Source organism: Homo sapiens, chromosome 2 (genome assembly GCF_000001405.40).
Source record: "Homo sapiens chromosome 2, GRCh38.p14 Primary Assembly".
Lineage (NCBI taxonomy): Eukaryota > Metazoa > Chordata > Mammalia > Primates > Hominidae > Homo > Homo sapiens.
The window spans coordinates 99,434,553-99,449,722 of NC_000002.12; the positions used below are offsets into that span (position 1 = coordinate 99,434,553).

The following is a 15,170-nucleotide window of genomic DNA, read 5'->3' on the forward strand; positions in this document are numbered from 1 at the left end:
TAGCTTTACTTAGACATTAATCCTTAAAGAAGCTAATACTTTAAAGATTATCAATCACCATGTAAATGTCATTTAAGTTTCTTAGCACCTCCAGAAAAGCCAATTATTTGTGACCATTTTGATACATTTATTCAACCTGAAAGCAGCAGTCAACTCAGCCTTCCATGGTTTTTGTTTGATTTCGTACTGTAGGAAAGAGGCAACTCAAGAGTCTAGATTCAGACTTAAGTAGTGGGGAAAGAAAAACTAAATTTTTTTTTGTATTTCTAGAGTTAACATCTATACTTATCTCTCAATTTTACGCAACAGAAACTAAATACATATGCATAGGAATCACAATCTGACCTACCACATTATCAAACATGAGCATACAGCCCCTCAATTTTTGCTTTAGTATAAACTTACTTTCCTGTATCATTTCCTTTTGTATGCATGTTAAGTTACAAGATTACTATAAATTTGTAAAGCAATAGCAGGGATAAATATATATTTACTTAATGCATTATTCTGAGGACCAAGAAATAAAATCAACAATGCATTAAAAAGCTACTCTATGAAAATCAATTATTTAACATTCTAAAAACTCCTTTCAGAGCTGAGGAACTACTACCCATGACAAAAATAAAGTCCTGGTTTTAACACAGCAGCTTCTGTGCCATAGTGATTCCTTATTTAAGGGAAGAATTGATTCTCAGAAGAAAACACTAAGTTATCTCTTTCAGACAGAGGTAAACACTGAAAAACCCAGAATGTATGCTTTTTAAAATACTGACTAGTTCACAAATATCTGCAATTTCACTAAGACAAAGACTGTCCAGACGACTTAACACATTTTAGCAATATTCAATAATGCAAAACTATCCTACAATCAAAAAGTTGGGATGTTCATGGGCATCAGGACAGTTAATCAAGTTATTTGCTCAAGAGAAAGCATAGTGACCCAAGTCTCAAAGACAAGAGCCACCATAAAATTTCCATTCATTAACAAGGAATAAATACAGATAAAAATTTAGAAAATGCCCAATACAGATCCTGCCTACATTAGTCTTCGATGACATATCCTTCAGCTGAAGATGAATATTCTTCCCTGAAGATCCCTATAGGGAGAAAGAAAAACTCTAATTTCCCTATACCTTCCCTGATAATCGAATATAGAAAATTTGGAAGAACCGATTTTCCCAAGGAAAATCATAATTTTTTAAAAAAAGATTTTGTAATCTCTTTGAATATATATTTATAACAATATATCAGTTTTCTTAAAACATAAGCAAGAATACAGACCTTTGAGATCTGGTCTATTTCGTATACCCACTGATACAAAGAAGCAATCCATATCAACATGCATTATACAGCTCTGATGTCTGGGAGAATTCAATACTGACATATCTCCTAGAAGGAAAAAGACAGCATTCAAACCCCAAGCTAATTTTTACTATTTAAAACATCAGGTCTAGTTAATTTTAGAAATTATATTTAAAACATGCTTACACCCAGAATGGAGTCTTTTTAAAAAACCAGAATTGAGTACAGATTATTTCTATCACCTCAAGAGAAGCCAAATTTAATTAAGTCTCTAATTAGTCAAAAAGTGCATCTTAAAATTATTTCACTGTGCTGATTATTTTATAAAAATACAAAGGTGTTGGCATACATTTAGTTACATGAAGCTAAGTAAAACTTTTTTTGATGATCACTATTCCATGCAATCTACAAACGCGCCTGGATAAAATAACAACAATAAAAGTGACTACTATTATCCAGTGCTTGGTAGGTGTCAGGCACTGCTGTTAAGAGGTTTATGTGTATGTATTTATTTAAATTCTCACAACTATGAGGTAGGTAATCGTATCATCTCCATCTTGTAGACTAAAAGTTTAAGTCACATAGCCTATTATTAAATGGTTGAGCTGTGATTCTGTCTCAAGCAGTCTGATTTCAGAGCCTTTAAACTACCATGTTGCTGTTCTAAGTACTTAAAAACAGTCTATAAAATGTAAATCTGTACATTTTTATCCTTATGCCATTAAATACTATTAAAGATCAGAGCTGAATGACATATACCACATTTAAGGAGATAAAGGTGAGTGTCCTCACCTAAGGACAAAAGCTTCTAATCATCCTGAGCTACAAAGAGATTCATCAGGGTCATTTTAACCCTAATCCAGGCACAAGCAGAGCTTTCCTCTATTATCAGTCTCATCCTTAGCCTGTTCGTCTGGTCCTCTAAGATACACAAATCCTGGAAAAAGAACCCTGGGCTTGTAAAAAGTTCTGATCTCATAAAGGAGTTTTTCTCAGGCTTAAAAATATTAGTACTGAGGGTCAGTCTTTATAATAGGCTTCCAAAAACAGATATCCCCTAACAGTTTTGGACCACTCCATTTACCAAACTGTGACTGTGATAGCATGTACCTAATTCTCCCCCAACTTTTTTTTTGTTTTTTTTTTTTTTTTGAGATAGGGTCTCACTCTGCTGCCCAGTCTGGAGTGCAGTGGTGCGATCTGCAACCTCAACCCCTAGGGCTCAAACAATCCTCCCGCCTCAGCCTCCCAAGTAGCTGAGACCGCAGGTGCGTGCCACCACGCCCAGCTAATTTTTTTTTTCTTTTTGGTAGAGACACGGTCTCACTGTGTTGCCCAGGTTGGTCTTGCACTCCTGGGCTCAAGCAATCCTCCCGCCTCGGCCTCCGAAAGTGTGCGAATTACAGGCATGAGCCACTGTGCCCAGCCTGCTCATGTATTCTTAAGCTCACAACCCCATGAGGCAAACATCATGGACTATCTATCACTTCTATTCACAAAGAAAACTAAGACTCGGAGAGGTGAACTAACTTGCCCATAGTCCTGCAGCCTAAGAGTGGCAGAGTAAGGATTTAGATTCATGCTAAACTATCTAACTCCAAAGCCAGATACTTCCTTACTACCCTCTATATTATCTCAAGAAATGATTCATAAAATAATCTTAATCACAATTCTGCTGTATAAAAGTATTTTTCAAAATATCATATAAACATAATGCAAACAACTCAAAATAACGCTTTTAAACATTCAAGTAGTACAGAATGCATAAGCCAGTATCTACCAAATGCTTTCATACAATAACAAAATTTCTCATTTTATTCCCATTCACAGAACTAATTAATCATAGTTCTTAGAAGCATTAAGAATTAAATAACCTTCAGGTAACAAGGCCAAGACATGATGTAAGGATAATCTAGTATCTATATTATTCTGAAATATTTCATAAATACCAAAAAGCATTTTTTGACTAAAAGCACATAGGAATACATCAAACTCAGTAAAACATAACAGAAAACACCCCACATAGAGTCTCTATCACTTTCTAGGACAGAACCATGAGCTTCTCTCTATACCTCAGTTTCCACAGCTATAAATTATAGAGTATTAATCTCTGAGGTCTCTCCCCATAAAAAAATCCTATAATCTGTAAAAGGAACTAAAATTTCAAACCAGATACTAATTTATAATGACTGGCCCAGAAAAACAGTATGCTACTGTGTGTGCATTTGTTTTTGATGACAAGAAAAGTATTAAAAAACAAAATACAATGAACCAATGTACTTAAGATGTGAAATAATCTCACTGAAAGTTTACCACTGTTAATTACAACAGCTCTATGTCAAAATTAAAAAATCATTATGATGCAAGCTTCTAGAAATTAACAATTACTCTTATCAAACCAATTTCATTCTTACAGGAGTTTAAGCACTGGATAGATGTTATATTAACACAGTTCAAAACTTCACCAACTGATAAGGTCTACGTGAGGAATGAATGCTCAGAATCCCAACCATCTTACTGTTTAAATTCTCTGAAAATTTTCAGTCAGCCACAATTATATCTAATTGTTTTAAAAATATTTTAATAAATTAGCTTTCTATGTTATGCTTACTGTAACTTACATGATTTGACATACTTAGAGACTTTTATGAGAACTTCATATTGACCAGAAATACCAATAATAGCATAAGAGCAAAATGATCAAGCATGACTGTTTCTTAAGAAGACAATTTTAATAAGTATCTACCTGTGTCAGTTACAACAAGTGCAGACCTGCCTGTTTTCATTTTTTTTAACTTTTCCCTTCCTGGAAAGATACCATTACTTTGTCTTTGTAGGGTATTGACAAACTCAGTCAATTCACACTTCCACATTGATATGTGATGCAGTCTTGAATGAGAATAGAAGTTTGAAATAAAATTGCAGTCTGAAGGTTTGGATGGCACTGAAGGTGCTGCCTTGCTAAACGTAGATACTGAAGAAGTGCTTTTTGTGCTTGAAGGCCCCTGAACAGTGGAGTGGTGAGCACCATTGATTTTAGTGTTACTGTGCAAAGGTGATAATGAGAAAGAATTAGTTCTGTGTGGATTCCGCAAAGCATCTGTGTTTCTGGTGCTTTGCTGCAACTGCTGCAGAGTGCAGTCTCTGAAATCAGTGCTGCTCTTCTCAGCCTTATCCTCCTCCTGGGAAAAGGCTGGAGAAAGCCTGCTGGCAACACTGTTGACCATGGGCACCAAGCAATCCTGTGTCTTTAAGGCACCATTAGAGCTAGGAGTGTGTCCATTAAAAATGGCAGTGCTCCCTCTGGGATGCGGAATTCCATTCTGTTTCCTTCCCGGAGAGGTCTGCTCCAGATCCACAAAACTAAAATCATTATTTTCATCTTCTTCATTCCAACTGTTCATGCCATTGACTTTGACTTCATTTTCCGTTTCAATCTTCTTAACGATGTGATTTCTAAAGCAGGAAAAAATTTTTGAGTTAATAATATCTGACTTTTAGGTTAAAACAATTTTTTCATTTCATCATTTTCTTAGTGGTACACAGTTTGGTATTTCCCCCTTTAAAAACAGAAAATTCTTATATTGAATATTGACAATGAAAAAAAAAAACCCTGAAACTTAAACCACAAACTTTATATTCTGATTTGACAAAAGATCATTCTTTGCAAAAGTAGCAAGATAACTAGAAAAATTCTAGAATATTAACAGCCCTTTAGGTGTTTTTTGTTTGTTTTTTATTTTCACTTCAGATAGTCCCAAAGAAGAAATAAAATAGAACATTTCTCATGGCTGAAGAAAAACCCAAAAAACTTTTCAGTTATTTTTCCCATAAAAAATTAATTGGAATCTATAAGCTGTAAATACCCAGTTCTGAAGCACAGTGCTTGGCATTTACTACATGGTCAATAAATATCTGCTGAATTAATATACTACAAATAACTTTCATAAAAATGGATTTAAAAACCTTACTTGAATTCTTATTCCTAGTTTTAGTTTTTATGAAAGGTACTATTCAACACATTAAATCTAATACGAAACCAGATGGTTTCAGTAGGAAAAAAACTGACTATATTGATTAACCTATTAATGAGCTAACTGTTGCACAAATAGACAAAAAGTAAAGCCATGTCAATGTGTGGGGGTAATTCAGTAAAATTTACACCTAGAAAAATAAGGACGCTTGCCTTACTGAGAAGGGAAATTGCACTTCATTTCTAAGAAATGCATATTTAGATGCCAGGGTGGTACAAGGCAATCTGGACCAAGTTTCCTGATGACAGCTTTATAAATGCAGAACCCATGACAAATGTTATGCTAAAGTCACATCCTGGCTCCTCTAGACGTTTGTTTAGAAATGCATTCACGAGAATCATCTAAGTAACAAAAACAAAAACCTGAATTACAAAGCAGTAATTCATTCTACTTAGGAATGTCCAAATGTCCATAGCATTAATTCAATTACAGCGCAGGCTCCAGATGAAGGGCTGCCCTACAGAGTAGTAAGCCACAGGTGAAATTACCACAGTATTATCAGGTTCCACCTAAAGCCCCTCACCCTAATACCAACTTGGTTTATTAGTAATGAGAGCCTGACTACACAGAAAAGTCCCACAAGCTGGATGATCACCCATTTCTGGGTTAGCTCAGGCTCTGGCTAAACATCATATGGAATGTGACAGGCAACTGTGAGTAGATGCCATGCTCACAGATGATCATGCCAGTGATGGGGAAAAAGACAAAGTAGATATGATTAAAAGAAGAAAAAAAGAAAACCTAATTTGTCACATGCAGAGAAAGTTCAGCCTCTTGAGATAAACAGAATGCAAGGGAGCAAGAAGTCACAGATGAGCATTTCAAAGAAATGTACAAAATGTACTGAATATACCCCCCAAAAAAACCCCAGAAAACAACAAAAGTGATGTACGTCAGAAAGTCTTACATCTAGTTTTGTGTCAAAAACATTCAGACCCTTTACATGCATTATAGCAACACATGCAACAGAAAGCCATATATTGGCAGGAAAATACATTGTTAACATACATTCTTGCTGTACTATAGTTTCTCAGCCTAGACAAATGGACATTTGCAAAGTAGCTGTACTGGAAATATCACGGGTAGAGATACATTTTTTAGGCAATGGCATAAATGTATTAAGAAGTAAAATCTAAAAGGTAATTTCTTCCTAAAGTGTCACAAAGAAGATTTTGAAAAAACATATCTATTTTCTACTTTTATTAATGTGGGTAAGAAAAGAAAGCTAAAGCTACGTATTCTGTGAAAAGGTTTTCTGGTATTATTTGCTATATACCTTGATAGCACATTAAAAAAAATTAAAAGCTACAGGTAACATGAAAAATATTTGAATATGCTTGTGAGTACAAGTTAAATTAACAAATGACAACAAAAATTACAGAAGGCAGTGATACTGGATCCTCTCAGATTAATTAGACTCCTGGTGTTTTCGAAAAAAAATATATCCAACTCCCAAAGCAAGCAATTTAATAAATAAAGAGAAGGCTAACCATAATGAACCACCTGATATACAAGGTAAGGCAACCCACCAATTAATTGTGAAACAATTTATCCAGGGTTGCAATTAAAAGCTTAAATTAAAAAAAAAAAGCAGCCACATGGAATAGTCTAGATTCACTTTCAATTCTATAACCAAGGGTCACCAACTAAACTTCCATTTATATATTTACATATTTAGAATGTTATGAATTTTGAATTTTTCAAAAATAACCCAGAAATATTAACATTTTCATTGTCTTTCTATGCATGGAACACAACAAAAATATAGCTGGTGCAGTTAGTTCCATTTTTGAGAAAGCAATACAGCAAATTACTTGTGAGGAAATAATTACTTTCATAAAAATCCATGAAAAAACTTATTAACAATTAAGATCCACTAGTTTAAGGTGAGAAACCAGTATGACTGTAAAAACTTACTTACATTTATGAAATTATCATTATAAAAATAATTCATTTTTAGATAAGACACTCATACACACATATTTCAACATGTTTATTATAAGTGAATGGCCAGGGTTTGTATCTGCTTCTGTCTGACTGTAACAGAGCAGGGGCCATGCTCACTGCTAAAAACCAGCTTTGTGGCCAGGCGTGGTGGCTCATGCCTGTAACCCCAGCACTTTGGGAGGCCAAGGAAGGTAGATCACAAGGCCAGGAGTTCGAGACCAGCCTGGCCAAGATGGTGAAACCCCGTCTCTACTAAAAATACAAAAATTAGCCAGGCGTGGTGGCACACGCCTGTAAGCCTAGCTACTCGGGAGGCTGAGGCAGGAGAATCACTTGAACCTGGGAGGCAGAGGTTGCAATGAGCCGAGATCATACCATTGCACTCCAGCCTCGGCAACAAGAGCAAAACTCCATCTCAAAAAAAAAAAAAAAAAAAAAAAACCAACCAGCTTTGCAGTAATCCCCAACTAGACAAACTTACACCCTGTTGTTGAGCTGTTTGGCTATATTGCTTGGACCTGGCAGAGGATCCTCAGGTCTGCATACAGGATTAAAGCTGAGACCTTTCTGCACACTGGACTGCTTGGTGTACAGCTGATATGGAATGTAGGAGAGGAGTCGTCCAGCTTTGATGCTGAAACAAAAAGCAACACCAATTTAGAGTTCCATACTTGGTGACAATGAGCTTCATGAAAAATATTCAATGTCCTTAAAGATACAGTATTTCACCAACAACAGGTCATCTGTTTTCCTAGTTTATTCCTTCTTGCTCGGTTTTAGTGGTCCTAATACAATATGATCTTAGAGTGGGGAAAAACTGCAAGCACAGAGCTGAACTAGTCAATATTTTAAACCTCATGACTTTAGTATTTACCACCCTGTCAACAGTTAACAGAGAATCATCAAGACTTCATCAAAATCTCATCTATTAAGGTTTTCCAAGATAAATAAACTGAATAAGGATGCTCAATTTCCAAATTCATGTCAGAAACTGTAAAATAAAAATATAGGACAAAATAAAGAATCTCAACTTCAAGAGTAATAATTTATACTATTTTTATGTATACAAGAATGGTTAAGAGCCAAGGCCATTTGAAGATATGAACTCTACAAGGGCCAAAACTACCATGTACATCCTCACAGCATATCACACAACACCACTCAAATCCAGGGGAACACCAGTGTTCTAACGCTAGGTGGTACTAGCACTGTAACTGAAGTTCCCAAATGTCTGCTTCCTTTTGTACTTCAGAACTAAAACTAATTTGATTGCAGTATCTAAAACTGACATTTTCTTGCTAATAAACTGAGTTATATATGGCTACTCTACCTTTAAAATTATCATTTCACTTCAAATTTAAAAATAACCAATCAATATACTTATGCTATCATCCAAATTTCAAAACAAGCTACTTTAATATTAGAAAATATTTCAAAACAACCTCTGGATTTTAAACCTAAAATATATACCAAGGAATCATCCCTCAGTTATTTAGAAAAAGACTGATAAATAACATGATAAAAATATGTTTCTTATTGTCTCATAAATCCAAGACTTGACATTTTCATTTTCTTAAATGGTGTCACACAAAACTTTTTAAAAAATAATCATTTAAGAAATGACTGAATTGGCTTACAGAATACTAATTAAAAATAACTGAGTCAACAACTTGGAATACAGGAAAACATACTAACAGATTCTAAAAACGGAACTATATATGATACAGAGTATGTCCTTTATATAATTATGTCAATATATATTTAACAATTCTACCTAAAGTACCTTAACCTATATCAAATGCTATAACTATTAAATTATGATGGTAAAGAACATACTATACTAGTCGCAAGACATGTAACCAAATGGATTTATGACCAGGCTAAATGTTTTACCAAAATTCAGGTTACATTCAAAATACATTCAAAATTTCAGGTTACATTCAAATATTAGAATCGAAACCCTAAAATTCGACTATTTTTTACTTTATTCTTCCTCAAACCAACTTTTCTTCCTTTTTTTTTTTTGAGACGGAGTCTCGCTCTGTCGCCCAGGCTGGAGTGCAGTGGCGCGATCTCGGCTTCACGCCATTCTCCTGCCTCAGCTTCCCGAGTAGCTGGGACTACAGGCGCCTGCCACCACGCCCGGCTAATTTTTTGTATTTTTTTAGTAGAGACGGGGTTTCACCGTGTTAGCCAGGATGGTCTCGATCTCCTGACCTCGTGATCCACCCGCCTCTGCCTCCCAAAGTGCTGGGATTACAGGTGTGAGCCACCGCGCCCAGCCCTTTTCTTCCTTTAATAGTTGGTCTCAATTGCCTAACTATAAATCTTTGTTCTGTGGTATTATGTATATCAAACTCACTTGCTTCCCCCACCAAAAGAAGTACAGCTACTTAATACCTGAAATAAAATCCTAACCTTAGCTTTCCATCCTTTATCATAGATAGCTATAACTAAGAGACAAGTAGAGAGTGAAACTACACCCACTGTGCCAGCTGCACATCTCAGGTAAAACCAAAAGTGCAAGGAACAAAACGCCCTATGATCATTCTCGCTTTTCCTGCCCTACTGACAGCATGCTGGAGTGATGCAGACTCTACAGGTACTCTCTATGGTCAGCACTGATCATATACAAGGGTGTCAGGCCTTATCCAGCTCCTAACAAGAGCCATGTGGCCACCCACAGAATTCTTAGGCTTACATAAGTCAGTCCATGGAGACTGCTACAAAATTAGACAGCCAATTTAAATACTGCAAGTCTCAAATCAGATATCCTCAGAGATACTCAATAAAAAGAATTAAAGCCCAATGCACTACAGTAATGTTAGTGAAGTAATGTCAGTTATAATTTGAAGCCTAAACCACTATCTATCAGTTGTATACTCCTAACTACCCCTGCTTGCCCATTTATCTATCTATAGATATATAGACAGAAACATTATCTGAAAGCATATTTGTATAAGACCTTTTTAAAAATCTCTCTGGGATTAATTTCTCACATTTACTATTTCCCCTCTTGTTCTAAGCGCAAAGGAACTGTACTGACATTTTCTACTATTCTTTCAAAACCAAAAGGAGAGGATAATAAAAAAATCCATCTTTATCCAAAAGATAATACTACACGGTTTCCTTATACACTGAGTTTTTTCATGTACATTGAAACTATATTCTGATATATACATGAAAGAGTTTACATTCTATACAACGAATCAAAACATAGTCATAGCAAGTGAAATATTCATCTATTTTGGGAAGTCTTACTCTTGCTTTGTCCTACAGCCTCTGCGTTTAGGAACAAAAAAAAAAAACACAAGGAATGGCAAAAAAAACTCATGAGAGATAAAATTGCAATCAACTTTTATTTAAATGAGTTGCATAAGCACTCTAATATTTAAACACTGAATGTAATTAGAAACCAAAGTTTTGACTCATATGTAAGCACATGACAAACGTATATGGTTTGGGAGTTTAGAAAGAAAAGATAAACTGAAAGTCCTACTAGTAGATCCCATTGAGCTGGCATGAACCAGAACAATAAATTATCATTCTGTCTCAACTCCCAACAGATCTATGTGACCATCTAATCACGGGATATACAAATATAAAAAACCCACGCTACAAGGTTCTCAATCTACAAGGATCAACACAAAATCAAGAACAACAAAAACAAGAACAATCTGTAGCAACTTAGGACAATATTTTTAAATTATGCTCCATGACACTCCTCAGGTTTGGTGGGCCAGTGGGGTACGTCATAGCAGCTTCTCATCTATTCCACATTTCAAATTTCAAGGTAAAATTGTCTCAAGACAAAGACTGTGACAAAAATTTTTTAAACCATTACTTTTAATACACTATGTACAAGTGTGAGATTTACAAAACAAAGGTTTTAGTAAAATAATTTCACACTTTAATGTACACAGGCTCCTCATGAAAGGATTCCCTTGCCTCTTCAAAGTCAGGGCCCTATAACCATGCCTACATTAACTCAGATCTACTGACATACAGACATCAGGGAACTGAAATTAAAGCAACACCCCACATACTTACAAGTGGCAGTTCCTTTTCAAACTGCTCGAATAAAAACAAAAACTAATTATTCAGAAGAGTATGTAACGTTTATTAAATAGCTAATACATGTTAAAATTTTTAAGTATAATAAAATCTCATTAAAACACAGCTAAGAAGAGATCAACCAGGGATTAGAGTGTGAATAAAAACAGTGCCATGATTTAACCAAAAGGATTCCCTGTTACAATGACATAATGGACTCCTGGCATTTAAGATATATGCCAACACTGATCCATTTCCACATGGGCCATCTATAACAAGCTTAATTAAATGGTAAAAAGAGGACACAAACAGGATTCAGAACACCTGGACTCTAAAACCTACTCTGTTCTTGGGCAAGTCAGTGAGCCCCACTGGCCCTGTCTCCTCAAATACAAAATGAGGCCCATAGGATATATAATCATGCTGTCCAAAATCACTCTTAATTATTTAAAGACAAATGATTAAACCTCAGTCCAGACTAAGATAAAATCCATTAAAGTGAATTTTAACTATCTAAGTTGCTTTTTCTATCTTATGATCTCCCTAGGCGCATCTGGCAAAAAGAACACGTGCAAAACAAGCAACTGTAATGGAAAATAGCATTTTCTTTTCTTTTTCTTTTTTTTGAGACAGTCTCGCTCTACCACCCAGGCTGGAGTGTACTGGCGTGATCTCGGCTCACTGCAACCTCCACCTCCCAGGTTCAAGCAATTCTCCTGCCTCAGCCTCCTGAGTAGCTGGGATTACAGGCACCCAACACCATGCCTGGCTAATTTTTGTATTTTTAGTAGAGACAGGCTTTCACCATATTGGCCAGGCTGGTCTTGAACTCCTGACCTCGTGATCCACCCACCTTGGCCTCCCAAAGTGGGGGGATTACATGCATGAGCTATCGCACCCGGCCGGAAAACACCATTTTTCTAAGTAAATCAATTCCCCCCAGCAAGATCGCTTTCCCCTCAACTCTCCTCCTGTCCACAGAAATTCCCCATTCCCTCCAAAGCCTAACTATTGCCCCCAGATAAAAACTCTAGCTCTAGTGACAACACAGCTCAACTCTGAGTGATCCAACTTCATATACTAAGACCAAGTCCTTTGAAGAGACACATACCTAAAAGCCATTTTAATCAATACTATATCATTGATAGACAGTGGTTAGGTCATGAGACCACAGTGCAAAGGAAGGAATCAGTGGGATGTTATAGGGACGAGCCTTTGACTTTATCCCTCCAGGTTTAAAAAATCCTTAATATGTAAAATGTTATTTATTTGACTTTTTTTTTTTTTTAGACAGAGTCTCACTTTGTCGCCAGGCTGGAGTGCAGTGGCGTGATCTCAGCTCATTGTAACCTTTGTCTACTGCAACCTCTGCCTCCCAGGTTCAAGCGATTCTCCTGCCTCAGCCTCCCGGGTAGCTGGGACTACAGGCGCGCGCCACCACGCCCAGCTAATTTTGTATTTTTAGCAGAGACAGGGTTTCACCAAGTTGGCCAGGATGTTCTCGATCTCTTGACCTCGTGATCTGCCTGCCTTGGCCTCCCAAAGTGCTGGGATTACAGGCGTGAGCCACCGCGCCCAGCCAATATATTTGACTTTCTAGAGATAGTAATGTACTTTTGAATTTTTGGAATTTTCTAATAATTGCTAATGTTACAGAATAAAAATAAAATAGTAACAGTAGCTTCTTATATATTACACCTCTACAACATGCTAGGCACTGCACCAGGTTGTATGGACAAATGATTTTTATTTCTCACATAACCACAGCAGGCAGATATTAGCCTTCTTTCACAAATGAGGAAACAAGGTCCTGAGTGACTGCATAAAGTTTTTTTTTTTTTTCTTTTTCCTGAGACGGAGTCTTTCTCTGTTGCCCAGGCTGGTGCAGTGGCGCCATCTCAGCTCACTGGAGCCTCCCATCTCCTGGGTTCACGCGATTCTCCTGCCTCAGCCTCCCAAGTAACCGGGATTACAGGCACAAGCCACCACTCCCAGCTAATTGTATTTTTAGTACAGACAGGGTTTCACCATGTTGGCCAAGCTGGTCTCTGCCCACCTCGGCCTCCCAAAGTGCTGGGATTACAGGCATGAGCCACCATGCCCGGCCAAGCATAAAGTTTCTAAAATTATACCAGGTTATATGGATACTGAACTGCCGAGTTTGGAAGTTCTGAAGCCAAGTATGTCTCCAGAGCCCAGGCCCAGCCTTTTCCACCACGCTGCTTCTCCGTGAATTTATGCGGCTAAATACACTATACAAAGGAACTGAGTTAATACTTAATTTGTGGAACAGTTAATGGAGGGTGTTATAATTAGTAAAAGCAAGAACTAGAAAAAAAATTCAGCAACTGACTTAAAAAGATAAGCAATCTCTCATACACTGATTATAATCTATCCATACATAAAATTACTACTTTAATATTTTACTTCTTTTATAAATCAGTAATTGCTCATATGTATTACATACCTCATGTCATTTAAAAATATAAACCACTTAAGTTTTAGCTCATCTCCAAGGTTTCAGATGACATATTTAAACTTAGGAAGTCAATATGAATGTCACCACTGATTTACAACTTATCATTTCCAAACCAACAGCAGAGAAACCACAATATAATCATTAAAAAACAGTAAATAATACTGCGACTGTACTCCCTCCTTTCCCCCTACTCCTAGCATTCTAGGTCCACATTATCTTGATGTATTACCATGCTAAAAACCTATGTGATAGACAACATGGTATAATGTACTCATACATTACTCATTCTTTCTCTCCCAACAGAATATAAACTCCATGAGGTAGTGAAGGGATCTTTGCTTTGTTCATTGTTATTTCCCAAGAACACAGAACACTGCCTAGTCTTTAAGAGGTGCACACATATTTGTTGAATAACACGCTTGCTCCACCTTCTCCCATAACTGCTTCCTGACACTTTCCTGAGTCATCACCCCTAATTCCTGGCAAACACATTAACATGCTACTTTTATTAGGATGCCAAATCCTAGGCTATAGTATTATCAACATGAGCTTAAACGGTAGTGTTGTTTAAGACATTATTTTTCACCCTGTCAATCAGGAGGCAATATATTAGTTACAATTTTATAAAAGAAATAGAAAGGCCATGCGCAGTGGTTGTAGTCCCAGCACTTTGGGAGGCCAAGGCTGGAGGACTGTTTGAGTTTGAGACCAGTCTCGGCAACATGGTGAAACCCATCTCTACAAAAAATCAGCCAGGTGTGGTGGCGCCTGCCTGTAGTCCCAGCTACTCTGGAAGCTGAGATGGGAGGGCTGCTTGAGCCTGGGAGGTTGAGGCTGCAGTGAGCCATGATCATGCCACTGCACTCTAGCCTGGGCGACAAAGCGAGACCCTATCTCAAAAAAATAAATAAATAAAAAGTATTCTAACTTTAAAAATTTATTAATTAAATTTAATAAATTAAACTTACCTTTCCACAATCCATTCTGGTCGAATTACTTTTTCCCCCTTTAATTCTTTAATTTTGGCATTGGGAAGATTTGTGGCAATAATATGTGTTGTTTTAGATCTGGAATAATATACATGGTATTGACCTCCATGCAACATCATTAGTTTTCTCAATTCCTCAGCGGAAGGATCTGCAAAATTTATATTAAAATATATTAAGAGTCTTATGTGTAAGAAGTAGAACCCTAATGAATAACTCCTTAAATAGGTCAACTTTAAGAATGTCATTGGTTCACCTTCTCCTTGGCTGTGTTGCCAGTAAACAAAGCTGGGAGGTAAATCACAAAGTGAGAAAGCTATGTTGCTTTTAGTACATCCCCCTTCCCTGGCTGCCAGACAACCAACTAAC

The 15,170-nt window shown here is 36.6% G+C and overlaps 1 protein-coding gene across 25 annotated transcripts in view, besides 1 other annotated feature; it reads right to left on the reverse strand.

Moving 5' to 3' along the window:
- Positions 1–15,170, reverse strand: part of REV1 (REV1 DNA directed polymerase) — an 89,726-nt gene that overhangs the window by 34,076 nt on the left and 40,480 nt on the right. For all 25 annotated transcript variants that reach the window (NR_135651.2, NR_135653.2, NR_135652.2 and 22 more), the window contains 4 exons: positions 14,784–14,952; positions 7,765–7,917; positions 4,049–4,758; positions 1,282–1,389 (listed from right to left, as the gene is read on the reverse strand). Coding sequence is in view for 17 of the 25 variants with exons in the window: in XM_017004311.2 (XP_016859800.1) it covers positions 1,282–1,389; positions 4,049–4,758; positions 7,765–7,917; positions 14,784–14,952 (1,140 nt within the window). In the remaining 8 variants the exon portion in view is untranslated. The remainder of the gene's footprint in view (positions 1–1,281; positions 1,390–4,048; positions 4,759–7,764; positions 7,918–14,783; positions 14,953–15,170) is intronic.
- Positions 5,343–6,012: an enhancer, noted in NCBI's record as "OCT4-NANOG hESC enhancer chr2:100056357-100057026 (GRCh37/hg19 assembly coordinates)". NCBI's record gives its function as "activates a minimal SCP1, AML or CMV promoter by ChIP-STARR-seq in naive H9 embryonic stem cells {active_cell/tissue: H9 hESC(naive)}" and the evidence as "EXISTENCE:reporter gene assay evidence [ECO:0000049][PMID:30033119]".